This window comes from Homo sapiens, chromosome 7, assembly GCF_000001405.40.
Source record: "Homo sapiens chromosome 7, GRCh38.p14 Primary Assembly".
In the NCBI taxonomy this organism is placed as follows: Eukaryota; Metazoa; Chordata; class Mammalia; order Primates; family Hominidae; genus Homo; species Homo sapiens.
Window position 1 is genome coordinate 147,531,506 of NC_000007.14, and position 25,779 is coordinate 147,557,284.

Here is a 25,779-nt window from a genome sequence, read left to right on the forward strand (position 1 = left end):
CCCTCTGAAACCACAGCCCAAGCTGTACATTGGCCCCTTTCAGCCATGGCTGGAGAGGCTGGTACACAGGACACCAAGTCCCTAGGCTGCACGTAGCACGGGGAACCTGGGCCTGGCCCATGAAACCACTTTTTCCTCATGGGCCTCCAGGCCTGTGATGGGAGGGGCTGCTGTGAAGGTCTTTGACATGACCTGGAGACATTTTCCCCATGGTCTTGGGGATAACATTAGGCTCCTTGCTGGTTATGCAAATTTCTGCAGCCGGCTTGAATTTCTCCCCAGAAAATGGGTTTTTCTTTTCTTTTTTTTTTTTTTTTCCGAGACAAAGTCTCACTCTGTCACCCAGGCTGGAATGCAGTGGTGTGATCTCAGCTCACTGCAAGCTTCAACTCCTGGGTTCACGCCATTCTCCTGCCTCAGCCTCCCGAGTAGCTGGGACTACAGGTGCCTGCCACCATGTCCGACTAATTTTTTTGTATTTTTAGTAGAGACAGGGTTTCACCATGTTAGCCAGGATGGTCTCGATCTCCTGACCTTGTGATCTGCCCGCCTCGGCCTCCCAAAGTGCTGGGATTACAGGCATGAGCCACCATGCCCGGCCAGGTTTTTCTTTTCTATCACATAGTCAGGCTGCAAATTTTCCAAACCTTTATACTCTGCTTCCTTTCTAAAACTGAATGCCTTTAACAGTACCTAAGTTACCTCTTGAATGTTTTGCTGCTTAGAAATTTATTCCGCCAGATGCCGTAAATCAACTCTCTCAAGTTCAAAGTTCCACACATCTCTAGGGCAGGGGCAAAATGCCACCAGTCTCTTTGCTAAACATAACAAAACTTACCTTTGATCCTGTTCCCAATAATTTCCTCATCTCCATCTGAGACCACCTCAGCCTGGATTTTATTGTTCATGTCACTATCAGCATTTTGGACAAAGCCATTCAACAAGTCTCTAGGAGGTTCCAAACTTTCCCACATTTTCTGATCTTCTCAGCCCTCCAAACTGTTCCAGCCTCTGCCTGTTACCCAGTTCCAAAGTTGCTTCACACATTTTCGGGTATCTTTTCAGCAGCGCCCCACTCTACTGCTACCAATTTACTGTATTAGTCTGTTTTCATGCTGCTGATGAAGACATACCTGACACTGGGAAGAAAAAGGAAGTTTAATTGGACTTACAGTTTCACATGACTGAGGAGGCCTCAGAATCATGGTGGAAGGTGAAAGACACTTCTTACGTGGCAGCAGCAAGAGAAAATGAGGAAGAAGTAAAAGCAGAAACCCCTGATAAACCCATCAGATCTCATGAGACTTATTTACTATCACAAGAATAGAGTGGGAAAGACCAGCCCCCATGATTCAATTACCTCCCCCTGAGTTCCTCCCACAACATGTGGGAATTCTGGGAGATACAACTCAAGTTGAGATTTGGGCAGGGACACAGCCAAACCATATCAATATCTTACTTTTGTATTAAATAATATGATTCCTGAAGTAGTTACTCATATACTGCCCCATTTATTTCTCATAAGAACTCTGGGAGAAAAAATCTATCACCTCTGTTTTACTGATGAGTAAATGTAGACTGAAAGAATTCAGATGATGTGTAAGAGAACACATAGATTATAATGACAAAGCTATAGCTGGAATTCAGTTTCTGTTTGGGGATGTTGTTTTGTTTTATTTTGATCTTAGAAAAAACTAAAAGTTATCATAAAAGACTTTATTCTAACTGCAAATTCAAAGATAATGTTTATTCATGCCTAGGACAAAATTTCTATTAACAATCAAATATTACAGAAGGTTGTGAATTTTTGATGACCTGATTATGTTTACATAAGTCTCTACCTTTTCTAAACCTCATAAATATGAAACCTTTGGGTGAACTCTTCCCAGAACTGATTTCCATAAACTTACTGAAAATGAGTAGGAAGAAAGAGCTCAAGGGACAAGTACTTATTGTGTATACTCTTTAGTGATACAGAAATAAAAGAAAAGTTAAATACCTATATTTATAAAATTGAATCTTTTAAAGTCAGCTGACAGGTCAAAATGCAGGTAACATTTTTAAGCTTCATGCTTAAAAAAATAAGCTTTATTTAAAAAAAAAAAAATACTTACTTGGAGCCAGGCACAATGGCTCATATGTGTAATCCCAGCTACTCAGGAGGCTGAGGCAAGAGGATCACTTGAGCCCAGGAGATCCCATCTCAAAAAAAAAAAAAGCACCTTACTTTTTACTTCATTGCCTCAGTGATAGCAGACCAACAGGGCATTGGTAAGAATAGTTTTAACTATACTCACAATCATATACTGGCTTCAGTTGTACTAGCAACAGTTAAAATTGAAGACACATTAAGCATGTAATAAATGTGAACTATCAATAAGTGAAACCATTAGAACTAGTATTAAACCGTTTCATTCTTAACATCCTTTACAGATAAAGAATCAGAGACTGAGAGAGCTTAATAATACCACTATTCAGTTAGCAAGCTATTCTGTGGTTTAAAGAGATCAGTATTGCCTTTAACTTTCTGGCTTTTAGAATTTACGCAATTCTCTATCAACATGGAGGCTCAACCTGATTTTGGGGCATTGTGTAAGCCAGTAGTTTTCAACCTGGAGTGATTTTGACCCCCAGGTGACATTTGGCAATGCCTAGAGACATTTGTGATTGTCCCATTTGGTTGGGGTTGCTATGGTATCTAATGGGAGAGGCCAGTAACGCTGGTGAACATCCTACAAAGCACTGCAGAGCCCCTGGCAAAGAATTTTCCAGCCCAAAACGTCAGTGGTGCTGAGGTTGAGAAACCTTGATATAGCCCTCTAAGACTGAATATTAATGAAAATGTTTATTTAAATCAGTTTGTATGGTCCCAGTGCCACTTAGAATTATATTTCTTAACAAGTTAGAGCTCAATTTCCTCTGCCCAGGCCTCCTTAGGATACAGAAGAATAAGCCAGTAGTACCCTTACACGGAACAGGATAGGGCAATCATATGATTCTGAATGCCAAGGGGACTTTCAGATTGATGGTTTCGTAAAGTGACTGACACCTTGGACGGTTCCCAAGAAAATTACTAAAACTTGAGTCTTTTGCAGGTATGCAAAACCCATGAATTTCATAAAAAATAAATCTTTATTTCAAAGATGGGACTTTTAAAGTTTAAAGTGGCCTTCGGGTGGAGAAAGAACTAGGAATCAAAATTTCAATGGGCAATAAAAACAAGTGATAATTTCCTTTGATTCTCACAATCAAGATGAAGCAGGATTGTGATAAGAGCTTAGCATTTCTATCCACTCGTTGAAATTTATCAAATGCCTCTCCCTGACTTCTCGCCCTTACACTGAAGTAGATATCCAAAGACTTCAGATATATACACTATGGACAAGTATTTCCCCTCACTTGCAGAAATTCAAGTGGCACCAGCAGTTTGGAGACAGAAGTCTCAGTGGGCGCAAGGAAGCTGGGGTCTGGGGCCTGACTCTTCCCTGCCATTTTGGTGCCCCTTCCCGCCTACCCACGCCCTACCCCAATGTGTGGCATTATCCAGGGGGTTATTAAATATTGAAATACAGCTTGACAAACATCTGATAACAATAGGTGGCCAAGGCCGGGCGCGGTGGTTCATGCCTATAATCCCAGCACTTTGAGAGGCCGAGGCGGATGGATCACCTGAGGTCAGGAGTTTGAGACCAGCCTGGACAACATGGTGAAACCCCGTCTCTACTAAAAATACAAAATTATCTGGGCCTGATGGCGGGCCCCTGTAATCCCAGCTACTCAGGAGGCTGAGGCAGGAGAATTGCTTGAACCCAGGAGGCGGAGCTTGCAGTGAGTCAAGATCGCGCCACTGCACTGCAGCCTGAGCGAAAGAGTGAGACTCTGTCTCAGAAAAATAAAAATAAATAAATAAATAAATAAAAAGGTGGCCACCAGCTGTGTCAAAATCAACTAGTTAAAAGGTGGAAATTAAATATGACAGTGGAAAAAGATTTCTAGTTGGAGAATGAAAACTTCCTAAAATCTAAGATGGCTGCCATTAAATGATATTCAGATTCTTCCCGGGTTCTTGCTTTTGGATGAATAAATGGCTTTTTCTTCCTCCAAAGTTCTAATCTGATGAATGTGTAATGGAGATAAATGTTTTGGAAATATCTCCATTTGCCTGGCTCCTCGGTGTCTCTGTGTAGGACTTTCTCCCCACTCAGGCCAAGCTTCCATCTGTGAGTGGAAGATGGGGAGGAGGCGAGGACCGCGAAGGTCACAATAAGAATGCAAATACAGCAGTAAAAACAGTTTAATATTCACCCTCTGTCAGCAAAAATAGGCTTTCCTAGTCTGCAGCAATGTACTGGAACAGACGTAAAAGACAGGCGTTGCCAGGAAATAGGGATTTACTAAATTCCTTTATATTCCCATTTAATATATCAAGAGGCAGTCCTGGTATCCTTGATCATATAGCATTTCCCAACAAGGAGGTTAGAACCAGACAGGAAGAGGAGAGAAATCCACACATACTCACCCCAGTAGGGGAAGAAACAAATCTCTGAAGCTCTGAGCACTTACATGACTCACCGTGGCAGGAACTAAGCTACCCAAGACAACTTTTAAAATTATTGCATCCACAGAGTTTACCAAATGAGTCTGAAATTTAACATGTTTCTTTTCCCAGCATTTTAAAATCAATTCCTCCTTTGAAACTCCTCTCCAATTACTCTTCATCTGTATAAATTCAAATATATTTTCATTCATTTACTCATTCAACAAATATTTATTGAGCATCTATCACGCACAGGGTGCTGCGAATGTGCCAGTGAGTAGGTACAGATAAAGTCCCTGCCCTCTTGAAACTTACTTTTTAGTTGGAGAGAAAAAGAAAAGTAAATATCATTTCTGGCTGTGATAAATTTCATGAAGAAAAACAAACAAGAACTTCCTGGTCCTCGTGCTCACTCCCTTCCAACAGTTTTGGGGGACACCAAAGGGACAGAGAGGAGTCAAGCCCCAGACCCCAGCTGCCTTGTGCCCACTGGGACTTCTGTCTCCAAAATGCTGGTGCCACTTGAGTTTTTGCGAGTGAGGGGAAATATCTGTCCATGGTGTATGTGTCCGAAATCTTTGGACATCTACTTCAGTGGGAGGGAGAGGAGTCCTGGAGAGGGCTCAGTACATTTCAAGGTGGTGAGAGCAGTGCTAACACGCAGCGTTCTCTGACTTCCTAATGTACCTCCCTCTCTGCCATCAGACTAAAATTTTTCAATAGCTGCTTGATGCAATCACTTTCTTTTTCAAGACCCGCAACTGCTCATACTGCCTGATGCTACCTCCCAGGCCTTGAACATAGCTTCAAATAATGTGTTTAACCTATGCCTGGCCGTAAAGCCTCCCCTCTCACCACGCCACCTCTTCTAAAGTCACATAAAAATCCCAGTTCTCTGTCCACACATCTAAGAATGGACACTCCTCTGTCTTCTCTTCCCTATCTTTCTAAATCTGACCCTTTTATTAAGATTCAACCAGTTTCCTGCCTGCTCTATTCCATTCAACACCCAGACCACAGTGATACCTCCTTTGTCTAATCTTTCACAATACACTTTAGCACGTTACAGATTCCCAAATGTGGAAAGAACCATGCTGGTCTTTTAGTCTAGCATTAAATACAATGTGAGTAACACAGTTATAACCTTTCTAATAGGTAGTCTCAGACTTTCACACTCTTTCCTAATGTTTTTCAAATAAGTACATTTTTAAAAATGCAAATACACAGTGGTAAATTAAATTATTTTGATTATTAAGCATTCATAATCATAAAGCTATGAATAAATCTGTATGCTTGGAACTCTTATATAATCGTAAAAGAAAACAAACTTAAAAATTATATTCAAACTGAATAACAAAATTCATTCATTCCAAATGATCAACATTAATTTAATGTGACATGTAATATTTTGCTAAAGTAAAGTACCTATTCTCAATGTAAATGTGGTATTGGCTACTATCAAATGCAATATGTAATAGTGGGGCCTTACTTACCTACAAAGGCCATCTCTGTCATTTTTTCTTAAAGAACCTTAAAAAAAAAAAGTTGTAGCTTCTTACTAAAGAAATCTCCAATGCTAACACAATATAAGCGTGACTTAATTACAGGGTGATAATCTAGATCATGTGGACTTTTCAGCCCATTAAAAATTAAAATGAAAAATCTAACCATTTTCAAAGAAACGCACATCTTTTATCATATGCCTTCATATAACAAGGGTCCAGAAATCCATGTTATAAAGGTTTGTACTGATTCAGGTGTTTATATTTTGACTCTGAAAATGGATCTATGTAAAATGTGCTGACAAAAAGGGCTATTTTTAAGTTTTGTGCATTTTTCCTTATAGTACCTAAAAATGCATGTAGCACATGCTGGATGTTAACTAAAGATTCCTTGAATATATTATCTCTATTTATTTTATTTCTTCTGATGTGAATTTGAAAAAACATTTATTTACAGACCACTAAAAATCTCCCAGGAAGCTGAGTTAGTGGTGACTGTTTGATTCTAACCTTCTGAACAAATGTTTTCATGAACTCCATGAAGCTTTTTAATAAACTTACTCCTCACAGTGATGCAAGTCAAATTTAAGACAGAAGAAACTAAACGTTCATCGGTATAAGAAAATCTAAGTCAAGGTGGCCAAAAAATCAAGCAATCTTTTAAGAATGTTGAATCAAATGTGGTTGTTGGTGAATGAAAATTTCTTCTATTGCAGACAATTATTTGAAGGGTACATCTTTTTAATACTATTTCCAACTGTCTCCTAGAGTGATAGTAGCCCTGTTAAACAATTAGTAAAACAAACAACAACAAAAAACACATTAGGCCAAGTGCAGTGACTCACGCCTGTAATTCCAACTCTTTGGAAGGCCAAGGAGGAAGGATCACTTGAAGCCAGGAGTTCAAGACCAGTCTGGGAAACATAGTGAGACCCCCTTCTACAAAAAAATAAAAACTTAGCCCATGAGGTGGCACGCATCTATAGTCCCAACTACTCGGGAGGCTGAGGCAGGAGGATCGCTTGAGCCCAGGAGGTCAAGGCTGCAATGAGCTGTGATCATGCCACTGTACTCCAGCCTGGGAAACAGAGTGAGATTATATATATAAAAAAAAATCCCTCCTATCTTTGAAATTTTCATAGAGCCACCTGTAGTTTGGATGTTTCCCAGGGAACACAATAAAAACAAATTCAATAATCCTCAACTAAAAGGCCTGATATCATGTTTATGCCAGTTTTTTTTCCTGAGTATTTTAACTTTTTTTCTCTACTTAGTTTCATCAATTAAAGGCTTATTGTTAAGGGAGAAAAGCATTAGGACCCCTAGTAAGATGCTCCAGGGAGTGTGTTTTCAGCTCAATGTAAGAAAAAAATTTTTGAACCGTCAGTACTCTTTGAAACTCTGTTTATTCCAAGATAGTGAGGTGTCTCTTAATATAACAGCTTATACAGGGGCTGAATGATGCCAGCTTTGGGCTTAATGTTGTTTTTAGGTTATCTAGACAGTTCTGATTTTAGAATGTTCATAAGTTAGGTCTGAATTAATAAGCCAATAGGTTCTTATTTCAAAAGAATATATATATACACACATATATATACATATATCAAAAATGTGAGCTAAATTCCCATTTATCTTTAGTATTCTCCATATCTCTTTCATTTCCAGAGTAATGGTCCTTGGGAAGATAATAGCTAGCATAATGAGACCTGGTACTTACACAGCACTCAATAAGTACAAGACTCTCTAAATGTTCATTCCTCACAAAACTCTATGAGATACATTATAGTGCTATTCCCCTTCTACAGATAATGGAACTGGGACACTAAAGGTTAAGTGATGTGCTGATACTTCCAAAGCTCATAAACAGAAGAGTCATCCAGAGCCAAACTATTTTGGCTTCAAAGTCCAGGCACTTAGACAGTGACGCTATCCACTCACTAGTACCTTCTGGAGAAGCCACTAGGATAGTCTGAGAATATTACTGGACTACTAAACAAATTGAGATTCTTGAAAGCTGAATTGTGTTGTGTTTTTACCCCATCATCACAAACCTTTACATTTGTTCAGACCAGGAAAATAAATGTCAGATGCCAATGTAGTGACACTATCAACTCCCAGGTGTAATCAAGTAGAGACTGAGATCCCTACACCAAGTCAAAAACTTTTATTTCTTTGCATACTATGGACCATGGTGTCAGGAATAATCACAACCCAAAGAATCAGGGAATACAGAATTTTAGAGCTGGAAGCATTTTTAGGAATTGTTCATTCTTTCTTTGTTATTACAGAAATGAGGATACTGACTTCTACTGAGAGGATCGTATTTCAAGACCATGTGATGGCTTTATAACTGCTCTTTCTGACTCTACTGTTAACTCTCTCATGTCCAGGCTCATACCAGCCAAAGGAAATTCGTAATAAAATTTGATCCTCTCTATAATTGCTATTCCTGATTCCACTGTTAACTCTCTCATGTCTAGGCTGATACCAGACAAAGGAAATTAGTAATAAAATTTGATCATCTCATTCTGCTTCTTTACACTCCTTCAAATGTTCTGCATTACTTTGAGACTTAATCAAAGTCCTTCAGTTAAAGCATCAGTTCTTTGAAGACCTGGTCCCTGATTGTCTGCAGTCTCATCAGCTCCTACTTGCTCCTCTTGAAATCTGGACTCCAGTCACTCTGAGTGTCACTCCAGACCCCCCAGAACATCACACTCTTACCTCCATCCTTTACACATCTCTTTCCTTCTACTTTCACAGCACTTCCCCTGGACTCTTCTGTCTGCCTCCACTTCATTTTTCAGAATGCAGCTTAATACCTCCAAAGAAAGTCACCTCTAACCCAGAGGTCACATTTGTTCTGTTTAGTTATTCAAACTCCCAATTTAAACAAGTCTGCCTATATTGTTTCCTAACCTATGACAGATATAAAGAGTAAGTTATATTTCTGTGCATTAGGATACAAGAAGAGCAATTAGAATTTGCACAATGCAACATGACATCTCCAGTAACAATATATTGCAAGGATTCACTACTTATAAAAAGGGAAACAAGGAGGGCAGATCACAAGGTCAGGAGATCGAGAGCATCCTGGCCAACATGGTGAAACTCCATCTCTACTAAAAATGTAAAAATAAGCTGGGCATGGTGGCACGTGCCTGTAATCCCAGCTACTTGGCAGGCTGAGGCAAAAGAATCGCTTGAACCGGGGAGTTGGAGGTCGCAATGAGCCGAGATGGTGCCACTGCAATCCAGCCTGGTGACAGAGCAAGACTCTGTCTCAAAAAAAAAAGAAACAAGTTAATGAAACAAAATTTTCTGAGATCATTTGGTAAAGGTGTCAGATTGGTGCAGCGTAATCCAGTGATTGATGTAGGTAATTTTGAAACCTGAGTCAGCAAGAAATAGCAATTATATTTAATGTAATATGATGAAGGAGGCAGAAAACTGCAATAACTTAGAATGATTTCCACTAAAGATACTTAAAATAAAATGAGTTTTAGTGCTTATAGCAAGGAAAACTCCATTTATGTTTAACATCTACTTCTTTTAAAAATGTATACGATATAGGGGGAAGATGGTAACAGTTAGAACACCCAAATTCTGGTCTGGTAATTGACACTAAATTAGTGAGTGACTTTGAGTGAGTAAGCCATATGATATCTTTGACTCTTAGTATAATGCAGTGGCTAGGAACAGGGGCTATAGGCTCAAATCTCATTCTATTCCATTACTTTCAAGCTCCATAGCCTTCTGTTACTTTAATTGCTCTAAGCCTCACTTTCCTCCTTTGAAAATGGAAAGAATAATACCTTCCTCATAGGATTACTGTGACAAACAGAAGGCACAACACTTACAAAACACTCAGCATAGAATATGACACATAGGAAGAGCTCAAACAGCTGTTGTTGTTGTTGTCGTAATATAAGTAGTTACAGTGAGGGAGATAGATCACATGCTCTCCGAGGTCTTCTCAAATTCTAAAATTCTGTGGTTCTATGAACAACTCGCTCCCAAATGATGTCAGATAAATGAGATCTCACTGTATACTGGGCAATAAAATCAATGTGGTCAATTTTAAATCGTACCCTGTAAGGTAAGGTTGAGCAGGTCATGAATTATTCAAAACTTTGGTTACACTCAATATATTTCTATTTGATCATGGAATGCATAGAACTATTTAAAAGAGCATTTTTAACCTTCTCATATTATGTTTAATGATTAAAATGAGTTTGATCTTTCCGTGTTCACTAAGGGAAAAGAAATGGAGCAATGCTGGATAGTTTATATATGTGCCCCACTTAATCATTAGCGATTTAGGTGAAATCATCGAGCAACTTTTTGGGTAATAAAAAATGCAAGCAGGATATACAGTTTTGGCCCAGATAACAGACATGCCTATAAATGAGAGCCAGTGGCACATCATCTCCTTATGAAGCTTTTTCAGAATTTCAGGTAGTTCAGGTCCATATGTGCTTTGAAATTCTAAGGGTGAGAAGATGACTATCACGTGTTTTTCCAATTATATCTTAATTTTCAAAATAGGCTTATTGCAGCATTGATGTCTAATTAGAGTTGCCGGACACAGTGGCTACAGTCCAATGCTATAATAATCTAATTAACTAAACTCTCCACTTATCATGTAAGTGCCTCCTCACCTACCACACACTTCACCATTTAAAGTGATATCCTTTTCCTTTCTTCTTTTTTAAATGAAGAATTTGTTCAGGGAGACATTTGGATTGTTCAGTGGTAAAAAAAAAAAAGCTCCAAAAAAAAAGCAAATAAGAAAGTAAGAGTTTGTACTGGACAGCAGAAGTGACATCACCTGGGCAGGCAGAGCACCTGTTGAAATCCAAGACTTCATTTACGGACTAGCTGTGTGACTTTGGCAAATTACTAAATCTCCCTGAGACTTAGCATCTTTATTTGCAAGCTGGGAATAATCGGAGGAAGTTAACTGAGAAGCTATTGGGACTTAAGCTTCAGGGCCTTTTATTTGTGTAGGGCATATATGTTCACATAGTCATATGCTTATGTTAAGTTTACAATGTTAAGATACCTTAACTGTGACTAGCTAAGAGCTCTGTCTCTTTCAGTATGACTTTCTTCCATCACATGGTGAAGATCTTTGGAGAAACCTTGAACAGGTTTGGTGTCATGCTAAGGGAAAGTTGAGATCCATAAATTTGTGTTTAGTGACAATATTTATGTGCTCTGAAGTTATTTCTCTATATTGTCACATATTGCTAGGCATCTAGTGTAGGAATAATTTTCAAGTGCACTCCCAGTGCCCATGTTCAGACCTACATATGTATTTGTATTTAAATATTTCAATCTTTTCTTAAAGAGAGATTCCAAAATGACATTAAATTCAAGCTCCAGAAAACCTAGATTTTCCTTTGGGGATAATGATATGCTGAGACCAGCTCAGCTGGGGAGACCCTAACCCAGCAGTGCTAGAGGAATTAAAGACACACACACAGAAATATAGAGGTGTGAAGTGGGAAATCAGGGGTCTCACAGCCTTCAGAGCTGAGAGCCCCGAACAGGGATTTACCCACATATTTATTAACAGCAAACCAGTCATTAGCATTGTTTCTATAGATATTAAATTAACTAAAAGTATCCCTCATGGGAAACAAAGGGATGGGTTGAATTAAAGGAATAGGATGGGCTAGTTAACTGCAGCAGGAACTTATCCTTAAGGCACAGATAGCTCATGCTATTGTTTGTGACTTAAGAATGCCTTTAAGCGGTTTTCTGCCCTGGGCGGGCTAAGTGTTCCTTGCCTTCATTCTGGTAAACCCACAACCTTCCAGCATGGGTGTTAGGGCCATTATGAACATGTTACAGTGCTGCAGAGATTTTATTTATGGCCAGTTTTGGGGCCAGTTTATGGCCAGATTTTGAGGGGCCTGCTCCCAAAAATGACACCTACCTTATACTATTTCTATGAAGATTAATGTGAAAGTTTTTTCCTACTTTCCTTTGTTTGTTCTGTTTTGCATTCTCATTCTTATTCTGAACAACTCTATAATAAGGACATGAAGATTATCTAATTCAGAGTTTTTATGTTTTATTCCCAAGCACTTCTACCCCCTCAAATAAAACCATAGGCGTGATCTTGATGCATGTAATAAGCCAGTAATTGACAGAATTTATATGAAGCTTAACCCTCACTGTTTGGGTATATCCATCTCTCATTTCTGTAAATCTCCAAAGAACCATGGCGAGCCTCAGGATTCCATACGCTCCATTTGAAAACCCATGATTTAACTCAATTCCCTCTTTTTATAATGGAAACTAATTTCAGAGAGGCTAAGTAACCTCTTGTCTTCCCATTCTATGTTCAATTCACCATATCTTTTCTGTAGGTTTATGATAGCAAACAATTGTTATTATTTATTAGTTTTAAACACAAAGCTACCTGTTTTAAACAAAACAATTTATAAATATTCTTCATGTCATGGAATATTTATTCTAGAGGGATTAAATCTTTAAATATAAGTGTTTCCAAACTGGAAGAAAATACAGAAGACTACATGTACAAATGAGGCTTTGAGGTAACCTATTACCAAAGCCATCAGAGATCTGTAAAAATCTGAAACTTTTGTGTGTAAATGTACAACATATAATGTTGTTCTCCACATACTAAATTGGCAAATTATGTTTGCAACAGTTATGGCACATACAAACTGCTCTTAGAAATATAAATTATGCAAAGAATGATGACTCAGAAGCCCACAGAAGAGCACATTTCAATGGCCCCAGACTTCCAAAAAAAAATTTCAGGCTCCTGGTAATGAGAGAAATGCAAATTAAGTAGCAATGAAGCTCTCACTTCACATCCATCAGAGTGGCAAAAAATTAAAAGTGATAATAACTACTGTTGGTGGGGATGAGTTAAAAGGGTACTTTCATTTATTTCTGGCAAAAATGAAAATTGTTATAGGCTTTCAGAAAACAATTTTGAAATATCTATTCCAATAAAAAAAAAATGCAAGTCCTCTTTCCAGGGCCACAGCATGACTTTCATGGGCCCTAGAAACTTGTGCCTGTGTTGTCTTCTTTCTCTATTAATATTATATATATATGTGATAAGATTTGGCTGTGTGCCCACCCAAATCTCATCTTGAATTGTAACTCCCATAATTCCCATGTGTTGTGGGAGGGACCTGGTGGGAGACAATTGAATCATGGGGGCAGTTCCCCCATACTGTTCTCGTGGTAGTGAATAAGTCTCACGAGATCTGATGGTTTTATAAGGGGTGTCCGGTTTTGCTTGGCTCTCATTCTCTCTTGCCTGCCACCATGTAAGATGTCTCTTTGCTCTTCCTTTATCTTTCCCCATGATTGTGAGCCTCCCTAGCCATGTGGAACTGTGAGTCCATTAAACCTCTTTCCTTTATAAATTACTCAGTCTCGAGTTTGTCTTTATTAGCAGCATGAGAATGAACTGATAATACACACACACACATACACGTACTCATAGACATATATATGTATGTATACATATACAGACAGAAAATATATTTTATGATTGTGTTGGTGTAAAGAGGAATATAAGTCAAACTGAATTTATTATTACTGGATTTACTTTTTCTTAAATTTTTAAGATAAAAATATTCCCTGAATCCCTAACATCTTGTGGGCCCTGGGCACGATGCCTTTTGTGCTCAACAATACAAGCCCTAACTCCTCACTCAGAAATTTGTCTACTGAAACCAGAACTTTAGTGATGTTTACTTTCAGCATTTTGGTAGTAGCAAAAACTAGACACAAAGTGAAAACCTTCAGTGGGCAATAATTGAGTAAATTTGGTTAGTATGATACCATTTTAGAAAAAAAATGTAAGCCAACACAACTGTGTGTATGTGAGTTGTCTGTGTTAGTTATCTATTGCAATCTAACAAGCCTCCCTAAAAATTAAGTGCTTAAAACAACAATCACTTTATTTACCCATGATTCGAATAGGTTATCAGTCTGAGATAGGCTCTTCTGAATAATTCTTTGCTAGTCTTCCATAGGGTAATTCATGCAGCTGTAGTCAAATGACAGCTTGCCTGGGGCTGGGCAGTCTGTGATGTCCATGTCCTTCCACACAAGTCTGATGGTTAGTCTGTTCCTCAGCTGGGCCATATGCTGCCAGCAAGCCAGCCCAGCTTTCTTCACATAGGTTTGAAAAGCAACTTTTAAAACCTAAGGTTGCATCACTGATATGATTTGACTGTGTCCCCACCCAAATCTCACCTTAAATTGTAGCTCCCATAATTCCCACGTGTTGTAGAGGGACCCAGTGGGAAATAATTGAATCATGGGAGACAATTTCCCCTATACTATTCTCGTGGTAGTGAATAAGTCTCCAAGATCTGATGGTTTTATAAGGGGTTTCCCCTTTCACTTGGGTCTCATTCTCTCTTGCCTGCCGCCATGTAAGATGTGACTTTCACCTTCCGCCATGATTGTGAAGCCTCCCCAGCCATGTGGAACAGTGAGTCAATTAAACCTCCTTCTTTTATAAATTACCCAGTCTCAGGTATATCTTTATTAACATCATGAGAACAGACTAATCAAATCACATTTGCTAATGTCTCTTTAATCAAAACAAGCCATATGATCAGACCCAGAATCATGGTGGGAGGGCCCTGACAAGAGCACAGATGAGAGGAGGTATGATTCATTAAAGAACACTACTGTAAAATTCTGTCAATGTGTGCAATTGCATATTTATGTACACATTATCATGTTGGTATGGTAAAGATCAGCAGGAAAAAAAGAAAATGGAACTATTAATAATTTTATTCAGATAGAGTGAAGTTACTTACTGTTTAATAACAGTTTATATTACTTATATATTAATTCATTAAAAGCTGTTTATCAAGTGCCTACTCTATGCTAGATGAGTGCTGAGTATAGAACAATCTTCTGGAAAAGTGAACATCAAGGGACATGCCCACAACTAAGACCGTTTACTTAGTTATTGTAACACCATCTTTTGAGGATTAAAAAAAGTAGATATGTACTTGTGCATCATAATTTCTTAGCCTAGGACAAATGCTTTATTACAGTTAAATACTCAATATGATTTGTGTGACCCCTTGGAGCTTGGGTGAAGCCAGTGTACAGGGAAAGGAGAAAAGCCAATACAACAGTGCATTGTCAAGTTGACTGTGGTCAGTTGAGTCAGGTTTTCAGTCCCAGGGCAGCTCCCTGAGGAAACCTCTGAAACACATCGCAGATCTTTCTGCCCAGGAGTACACATGGATGAAACTGATTCTCATCCCCTTTGTTCGAGTGACTCCAAGGGCATTGACTTTACCAGATTTTTGGCATATGCATGCATGAGGCCACATCAATTTCTGAGACTAACCCTGCTCTGCAGTATCAATGAAACCCTCAGGGCAAGAAGCAAGAGGAACAGGGCAGATGCTGTATCTGTGATTAGCTAATCAAAACCTAGGAGACATTGGTTACCACAGCAGTGGCTGCAGTAAGAGGTGGGGCCAAAAGGATATAAATTAGTATACAAGAAGTGTCTGATACAGCCCACCCCTTGCAGAACTGAGACTTGCTCATGTCTTCTCTCAAGTCTAATCTGTCATAAAGTCATCTTCAATCTCTGCAAAGTTTCAATACAAAAGATTGGCAGAATAAGTGATAATCCCTGTATTACAGCTGAATCCAAGGCAATAATTGATATTATTTATCCTTTCCTTCAACTCATCCTAAGCCAGTATTTCAGCTGGTTGCTTGACTGATGCAGTGACCCAGACTTTCATCTCCTGGAGATCTAGGTCCTTAGTTACCTTGCTCTTCACCAGCCACTAATGCTGCGGTTGCTTAATCACCATTAACACTGAGCACAGAAGCAGCAACAGGTATTACATTCAATCCCCTGGGCTCCAGACATTCTTCTCCCTGCCTGCTAGGGGGCAGCAGCGCTGTCTCCTCAGCTCATTCAGATAAGCTACCTTTGCCAGAACAGTAGTAACTCCTTTCTTTGCTTGATGGTCCACTGGCATGAGGAGCTTTGTTTTTGTTTTTATTTTTGTTTTTTTGTTTTGTCTTTATTTCTTCTAAACACACACACACACACACACAACAACAACGGGATACATGTGCAGAACATGCAGGTTTGTTACATAGGTCTACGTGTGCCATGGTGGTTTGCTGTACCTATTGACCTATCCTCTAAGTTCCCTCCCTGCACCCCACACACCCCAACAGGCCCTGGTGTGTGTTGTTCCCCTCTCCGTGTCCATGTGTTCTCAATATTCAACTCTCACTTATGAGTGAGAACATGCGGTGTTGGGTTTTCTTTTCCTGTGTTAGTTTGCTAAGGATGATGGCTTCCAGCTTCATCTATGTCCCTGAAAAGGACATAATCTCATTCCTTTTTATGGCTGTGTAGTATTCCATGGTGTATAGTGCCACATTTTCTTTATCCAGTCTATCACTGATGGGCATTTTGGTTGGTTCTATGTCTTTGCTATTGTAAATAGTGCTGCAGTAAACATGTGTGCATGTGTCTTTATAATAGAATGATTTATAATACTTTGGGTATGTACCCAGTAATGGGACTGCTGAGTCAAATGGTGTTTCTGGTTCTAGATCCTTGAGGAATTGCCACACTGTCTTCCACAAGGGTTGAACTAATTTTCATTCCTACCAACAGTGTGAAAGTGTTCCTATTTCTCCACAGCCTCACCAGCATCTATTGTTTTCTGACTTTTTAATAATCGCCATTCTGACTGGTGTGAGATGGTGTCTCATTGTGGTTTAGATTTGCATTTCTCTGACGATCAGTGAATTTGAGCTTTTTTTCATATGTTTGTTGGGAGCCTAAATGTCTTCTTTTGAAAAGTGTCTGTTCATATTATTTGCCCACTTTTTGATGGGGTTGTTTGATTTTTTCTTATAAATATGTTTAAGTTCCTTGTAAATTCTGGATATTAGACCTTTGTCAGATGGGTAGATTCCAAAAATTTTCTCCCATTCTGTAGGTTGCCTGTTCACTCTGATGATAGTTCCTTTTGCTGTGCAGACGCTCTTCAGTTTAATTAGATCCCATTTGTCAACTTTGGCTTTTGTTGCAATTGCTTTTGACATTTTTGTCATGAAGTCTCTGCCCATGCCTATGTCCTGAATGGTATTGCATAGGTTTTCTTCTAGGGTTTTTATGATTTTGGGTTTTAAATTTAAGTCTTTAGTCCATCTTGAGATAATTCTGTATAAGGTGTAAGGAAGGGGTCCAGTTTCAGTTTTCTGCATATGGCTAGCCAATTTTCCCAGGACCATTTACTGAATAGGAGATCGTTTCCCCATTGCTTGTTTTTGTCGCATTTGTCAAAGAGCAGATGCTTGTAGATGTATGGTGTTATTTCTGAGGTCTCTGTTCTGTTCCATTGGTCTATATGTCTGTTTCGGTACCAGTACATGCTCTTTTGGTTACTGTAGCCTTGTAGTATAGTTTGAAGTCAGATAGCATGATGCCTCCACCTTTGTTCTTTTTACTTAGGATTGTCTTGGCTATTTGGGGTCTTCTTTGATTCCATATGAAATTTTAAACATTTATAATTCTGTGAAGAATGTCAATGGTAGTTTGATGGGAATAGTATTGAATCTATAAATTACTTTGGGCAGTATGGCCATTTTCATGATAATGATTCTTCCTCTCCGTGAGGATGAAATGTTTTTCCATTTGTTGATGTCCTGTCTTATTTTCTTGAGCAATGGTTTGTAGTTCTCCTTGAAGAGGTCCTTCACGTCCCTTGTAAGTTGTATTCCTAGGTTTTTATTCTCTTTGTAGTAATTGTGAGTGGGAGTTCATTCATGATTTGGCTCTCTGCTTACCTATTGTTGGTGTAAAGGAATTCTTGTGATTTTTGCACATTGATTTTGTATCCTGAGATTTTGCTGAAGTTGCTTATCAGTTCAAGATGTTTTGGGGCTGAGATGATGGGGTTTTCTAAATATAAAATCATGTCATCTGCAAACAGAGACAACTGGACTTCTAACCTGCGGAGCTTTAAGTGACCAGGTCACAGCCATTCTTTGAAGTAAAGGGGAACCCATATACTTGACAGATATGGTAAGACCAATGCCTCCCATGGCAAATCCTGCTGAGGTCTATAAAAAGTAGTCACCACAGCAGTTCTGGTATAAGGGATGAGTCAAGGGATTTGAAGCAGTGGGCTCGATGTGTCTGATATAGTAATATGTAATCTACATAGAGGAGTTAATTATCCACACCATGTCTTCTTTTCTTCCCCCATTTCTTATCACATACACCCTGGAATCAGAGCTATTTATTTAAATAACACACGCATTATATTTGAATTATTTGGTTGCACATGCTGTATAAAGCAATACATTATTTTTATTAGAATGTCAATGATCATATAATTGTTTGATAAAAATTTTTCTTTTATGGAAATTTTCTCTGAGGGGGGAATATCACAATTTTCATAGAAGGATTTAGAAGTTGCACTATATAATGAGAAATGAGTACTGCAGATCCTTAGCAAATATGACTTTATTCTTCCACTTTTAACAACATAAATGCCTTGGAAAAAATCACTCAATTTGATCATGATTGAAATTCCCGGTGGAAAAATATATTTGGGATTTGTTAATTATTTTTCAGTGGGGTTCTCTTTTTTGAGAGAGCTGAGTGATATGGTTTGACTGTGTCCCCACCCAAATCTCACCTTAAATTGTAATAATCCCCATATGTCAAGGGCAGGGCCAGGTGGAAATGATTGAATCATGGGGTGGTTTCCACCATGCTGTTCTTGTGGTAGTGAATAAGTCTCATGAGATCTGATTGTTTTATAAATAGGAGTTCCCCTGCACAATCTCTCTTGCCTGCCACCATGTAAGATATGCCTTTGCTCTTCCTTCATCTTCCACCATGATTGTGAGGCCTCCCCAGCTATGTGGAACTGGGAGTCCATTAAACTATTTCCTTTATAAATTACCCAGTCTCATATGTCTTTATTAGCAGCATGAGAATGGACTAAATACACTGAGCATGAGTGGAAGAAAGTCTCAAACTGAAGTGAAGAAAAAGGGAAGGGGCTGATGTGGGGAGAGGAGCAGTCCCTCAGCAGCAATGTCAAGTTCATTTGCTTTGCCTCTGGCCACTGAGGAAAGACAATGCCAGGCAACTGTAGAGCTGGGCCAGCACCTTCTGAAACGATCTTGTTCCCCAAATAACCACAACAGATATTATATAGCAGGTAAACTAACAAGTAAAGGCAGAAGTGAAAAAAATTGTTCTGTGAAAATATATGTACTATATGTACATATAGATATAGTATATACGTTTGTGTGTGTACTTAAACCACAATGCTGTAAGAAATCATAAATTTATCTGAAAATACTGGGTAAGGAGATAGTATCCATAAAAAATACTATTCCCATAGAATTTAAATATTCAGTGAGCTTTCACTGACTAACTTGCATACACCAGGCACTGTGCTATCAGGTATGGATGTAGCAAAAATTATGATATGGTTCTTATGTGCATTAAGGTAAACATTATCCAGAAATATGTAGGCTTTCTTGTTTTCTTAAATTAGAAGACAAACAGTATAGGTTTCTCCTGTTAGCTCAGGTATATCATTATCAGGTTCAACTATTCTAGCAGGTGGTAATAAATTGTTTTTCTTCTCATGCTGTCTGCTGTAAATAGGATCAATAAAGTCAGAATAAAGATCACAAAAACTTTCATTACAGTGCGAATAGTTTAATGCAGCAGTTTCTATGTGCCTAGATTTTGGCAGATGCTTTAAGATTCTGGAATATTTGAAAATATTATTACTTCTCTGGTCCTTGATTGTGTAAGGAATGCTGAAGTTATTGACTCCTTAATCTCTACTGAAGGGGCTTACTTTGAAGACTAGCAATTTCATTATTTGATTCTGATTCTGAGATGACTTTAACAGAATCTCAAGCAATGTAAGCCACATTTAGCAATCATAGCAATAGTCTGATATTTTTGAAACCTGTCCTATTATAAAACAAGCCTACATTTATATAATCCTCATATCTCAAAAGAAGTTGGAGAAAGCCACTGCCTGGGAAGTTCCTTATCCTGAACCTAAATCAGATGCTAATATCTTGTTGCTGCATTGGTTTTAACAGTAGACTCTCAAGGATGCTAATATCTTGTTGCTGTTTCGGTTTGAAAAAAGACTCTCAACTTGTATTCATCGATGGGTGTTCTCTATTTCTTAACAGGATTATCTATATTTGAATCTTCTTTTAACTCTGACTGAAGAGCTCTGAAATCACCAATAATGTCTTCATTACTACATCAATACTTAAATAATGGACAAGAAATTATAAAGGCTTAGCAAAGACATTCAGATTATTATGGCCTTTTGAAATATGCACCATAAACTATTAACTTAGAGTGCTTGGCCAAAGTAAAACTTGAATATCCCATCAAATTCCTCATTTTTATGAGAAAATTTATACTCAGAAAATTTAAGTGGCAAATAATCCAAGTCATATGGACTGTAAGTTACAGAACCAAGTCACAAAAAGGAGTTCTGATTCTTGATCTAAAAGTCTTCCCACTGTGTCCTTCTATGGCCTTCAGTTTTGGGCGGTGTATTTTGTTTGTTTTTTATTTGAGTTATATGCGAGTTTAAACACAATTCTTTCTGCTATGGGAAACGGCCTGTTTCATTTTCAAATTTTGAAGCTCACATTTTTTAATGGTTTATTTTTTCATTAAATTTAAAAGGCTTTATTTAACAATTAAAAATCAGTCCTATTGCCTCATTCATTGAATTCCATAAATTACAGTAAAACATTTTAAAGCTGTAAATTAGTATACAAACGTAGCTATCTTTTTATTATTTGAATCATAGAATGACTTTAAATGACTAAAGTTTGCATTTAGAATTAACACTTTTTAATTTAAAAATCTGATTTTTCATTTAACTGTGATTTGTTTAGCTAAAAACAAATGGAGAATTTGAATTTCTTTACTCCATTTTACTTTCCTCAACACACACACACACACACACACACACACACACACACAGAGATATAAATAAGAAAAATCTACACTTCCAAGAGTCATTTCCTTAGTGAATCACATCCCTCACTTTTCTCCACACTGTCCTTCAACAATGAGAATAAAATACGCCTTCTTCCTCCATAATATCAGTAGAAACAATTCAGCACAATGTTTAAACAAGTGTTAGGACCCTGTAGCCAGAATTCCTGTGTTCAAATCCTGGCTCTGCCTTTTTCTAGGTGAGCAATCCTAGACAAGTTAACTATTAAATAATTGCTTTGAGCAGATGGCAGTGACAGAGCCCTTGAAGAATAGCTCTCTCTCCAGGCCAGCAGAAGAAAAATGACAGTGCAAGACACAGGATAGGACAGTCAAGAGGCAAAAAGAAATACAAGCTAAGGGCACAGAAATGAAGAGAAGAATGTTTCCATGAGGAGTCAGCCAACAATGACAATGTCTACTAAACTCCTAGAGAATGAGAACGTAGTGAAAGCCCAGGGTAGGTATCAGTGACATTCTTGAAGGTGAGACAGCAGTGATAACATTCTGACTTGAGGGGCTAAGGTGTAAGTGGTGAAGAAGCAGGAGTTCCCCTAGATTGGACAGGGAAACGGGACTAGCATGTAGCACGTGTCTACCTGCCCTTGAATCTAAGATCGCAGAGACCAGTGCAGATGAATAGAGAAGATGCAGCCAATGGAAAAAAGAGAGGAGGTAAATGGAGAAAACCATTAAATGATCTCAGGACAAGCATGGAATCACATGGTTCTGGGGAGGAAGTGTAAGGAAAGTCCTTCTCTTGTCTTCCTTGCAACCTCCTATTCATCCTATAAGACTTAGCATAAAACCACTTCACAAATAAAGTATTTCCAAACTGTCCTAAATCAACTTATCCAGTTTATTTTTCTAAAGTCTCTGAGTACTTTGTTTTATAATCTTTTATAACATCTAACAAATTATATATATTATTTAGTTAACATGCCTGCCCCATGTATTACATAGCAAATTCCCCAGAGCTAGGATTTATGACTTTTTTACTTTTTTCTTCCTAGGGCAAGGTATAGTGTTAGATACTACTACCACATTAGTAGGTGTTCCTAAAATAATTAGCAATAAGAAAGGGGCTGAGGTGGTGGTTTGCGCCTGTAATCCCAGCACTTTGGGAGGGCCAAGGTCAGGTGTAAGAGACCAGTCTGGCCAACATGGTGAAACCCTGTCTCTACTAAAAGCACAAAAATTAGCCAGGCATGCTGGCGCGTGCCTGTAATCCCAGCTACCAAGGCAGGAGAATCGCTTGAACCCGGGAGGTGGAGGTTTCAGTGAGCCGAGATCGCGTCATTGCACTCCAGCCTAGGCGACGAGCAAAACTCTATCTCAAAAGAAAAGAAAAAAAAGGAAATGAGAGAGAGAAGGTTAGAGATGGGAATGGAGACTCAGGAGATGCAGCAACATAAGCAACCTCTATAGGATCTGAGCAAGATGAACTGGATGCTAAGCTTCTTCGTCCAGACCCATTAAATTGAGGAAGCGTGTTTGTAGCATGCCTGTTGGATTTTGTAGGCTTTCTCTCCTTCTTAGAGTTTTCTATAACCTAATAGTAACCCTGAATAAAATACAAGTAGAGTTGTTTAGGTTTAGTCATGTAATACAGGAAAATTTGATATATTGTGGAGTGCAGGTCAAAGAATACCAAGAATGGATATTGAAGTCTCCAGGAAATATGGCAATCACAGTGATACAGGGGCAAAGAGTCCTGGTTTTGTGACTGGCATTGCAATAGTATGGATTATTTTTTTTTTTCTTTGAAACAGTGCCTTGAAGCCAATTTATAGAGGGATTTGGGAAGGATCAAACAAAAGAAAAAATGGGCTGGGTATGGGGAAGGGAGAGAGTAGAAATGAAATAATAAATGTAGATATACTCTGGCTTTCAGAAACTTTTTGAAGGACTTATCAAGTAAAAGAACTACAAGCTATTGTAATTTCAACAAGAAATTGAAACTTTGTCTTTTTTAAAAAAATCCTAATTTCCTCCCTCCCCTTGAGGCTTGGACAGGTAAATAAACCCATTAGGGGGCTATAATGAATAACATCTCATACAGAAATTATATGCAGGGAAAGATCATGACACAATATTAGCATACAGAATATCTGTTTTTAAATCCACATTCTCTCTACCATCTTCATTTGCTGTGTGCTGATAATGAGACAATGGTTCCTAAGGGAAATAATGTAGTTTACTCAGGGTATTCATTCAAGCTCTAAAAAAAAAAAATCCAAACAGACAGAGAACATATGAGGTTAATATTCAAGTGTTAATGAGGACTTAGGTATTGTGAAGCTTATATTGTACTAATTAAAAATAATTGCATGGTCCTAGAATTAGAGAGCTTTCACTGAGGAGGGTCTCAAGGTCATTGCCGCCTCTCTGGATTTCCAACTTGGCTGTGCACAAACCTCAGTGGTTACCTTAACAGGAATAATTAGGTTCTGGGCAAACACATTCCTGCAACCAAATTCACTAGAGTCTGTTGAGATAAAAAAGTCAGTTTCATGGTTTCTAATGAGAATTACCTCTTTCCAATATAGAAACTTATTTTTGAAAGCAAGATTAGGATCAGAAGGTGGTTTCATGGTTAAAAAGGGAGCAGAATAAGGAGGGCCCCAGAGACCATCCTACACTGAACAATACCAACCCAGATAAGCCCCATATAAACTATATCGCCGCTATGCCTACGTTTTACATGAAAAGGCTTCTTTATCCATTCAAGGGTAGAAATTCCCAGAAAACCAATCCCTCATTTTAGCATCTTATAACCTGGTCCCTACAGCAAGTATGTACAAGTATATAGTAAGCATGTGATCGCCTCCAGTATAAAAGAGCAGAAAGGTGAGGGCATTCATAAGCGATTGATGGATACGCAAAATGTTATATTACAGCATTTCTTATCAAAATTAGATTTAAAATTATTTCATGCTTTTTCCCAGTTTCATATCAAATCATTAAAAGTGAATATTTTTCCCTCTTCTGTACAGTCAGGAAGACTGCTTATGATGTTCCAAAGATAACCTTTATGTATGTGCTCAGCTTTGACTTATGAGTAAGTTTCTCACATGGGTTAATACCCGGCCACTTCTAGTGATCCTCATGCTTTTCAAGGTCACAACAGGAAGGATGTATATTTCAAGTTTAATTGTTTCTCTCAAAGCACGAGGAGTAGACAGGTGTGGAGAGAGTCTTCCTCAGCTCATCAGCGTCATGGAACTCTAGCTCTTCTCCTAGGGAATAGGGCCTCCTTCATGTTTCTCCCCCTACCCTATCCATTCTTTAATCGATGCTTTATTTCCCAGCAATTCATGCCTGTTACTTGTCTTTACTCTTAAACCTTTTGCTTTTCTCTTTCTGCCAGCATTTTGGCAATCCTGTATAGGCCTGCGGCCACGTCTGCATGTAAGCAGAGAGCAGAATTTCTGCTTTAACAGAATTTCTCTGTCACATCGTCTGCTTGGGCCATGGTGTTTCGTATTCTACTGGTAGACATAACCTTCAAGGCTATGTGGACCTTTAAAGTCAGTATGAAAATTTGACTTCATTCTTCCGTCTTTCTTTATTATTCTGCTTAATATACCTTGTGTTCATCCACAACACTGGAAGCACATTAGTTGCTTAATAAAAGTTATTCTTTAAATAGAGTCATCATTTTTATATAGTTGTGATATTATTTCCATACATTATTTATATAAAATCATATTATTTTATATAGTTTTTATATATCTGTGATAAAAATAATGCTCCCCACCAGAGGTTCATGTCCTAATTCATGGAACCAGTGAATATGTAACTTTATATGGCAAAGGGACTTTGTGCTTGTTAAGAGCCTTGATTTGAGGAGATTATCCTGGATTATCTGGGTGGCTTTGTGTAATGACAGAGCTCCTTAAAATAGTCAGAGAAAGAGACTATGAAAGCAGAGAGTTGCAGTGATGCAGCAGGAGGGAAATTCCACCTAATTCCTAGCTTTGAAGATGGGGGACTGAGATGATGAGCCCAGGAATGTGTGTGGCCTCTATAATCTGGAAAAGGCAAGTATATAGATTTCCCCCCTAGAATTTGCAGGAGAAACACAGTGCTACCAACACTTTGAATTTAGCCCAGTGAACCCCATTTCAAACTTCTAACCAGAACTGTATCATTATTATTAACAGAATCATCATCTCCAGAACTGTAAGATAAATTGGTGTTGTTTTAAGTCACTAAGTGTCTGTCATTTGTTAGAGCAGCAAGAGGAAACTCATACAATAGTACTTCATCATTTTCCATGATAGGTAATACACAGACAACATTCATTCATTGTTTAATGAAAATGAATAAGACATTTAGTGGCTGGGCACAGTGGCTCACACCTGTAATCCCAGCACTTTGGGAGGCTGAGGCAGGCGGGGGTCGGGAGGCTGAGGCAGGCGGGGGTCAGGATTTTGAGACCAGCTTGGCCAACATGGTGAAACCCCATCTCTACTGAAAATACAAAAATTAGCCAGACATGTTGGCAGGCACCTGTAATCCCAGCTGCTTGGGAAGCTAACGCAAGAGGATCGCTTGAACCCGGGAGGCAAAGATTGCAGTGAGCCGAGATTGCACCACTGCACTCCAGCCTGGGCAACAGAGCCAGACTCCATCTCAAAAGAAAAAAAAAAGACATT

The 25,779-nt window shown here is 38.5% G+C and overlaps 1 protein-coding gene across 2 annotated transcripts in view; it reads left to right on the plus strand.

Moving 5' to 3' along the window:
* CNTNAP2 (contactin associated protein 2) overlaps positions 1-25,779 on the plus strand; it is a 2,304,198-nt gene that overhangs the window by 1,414,705 nt on the left and 863,714 nt on the right. The gene's annotated exons all lie outside the window — the stretch shown is intronic.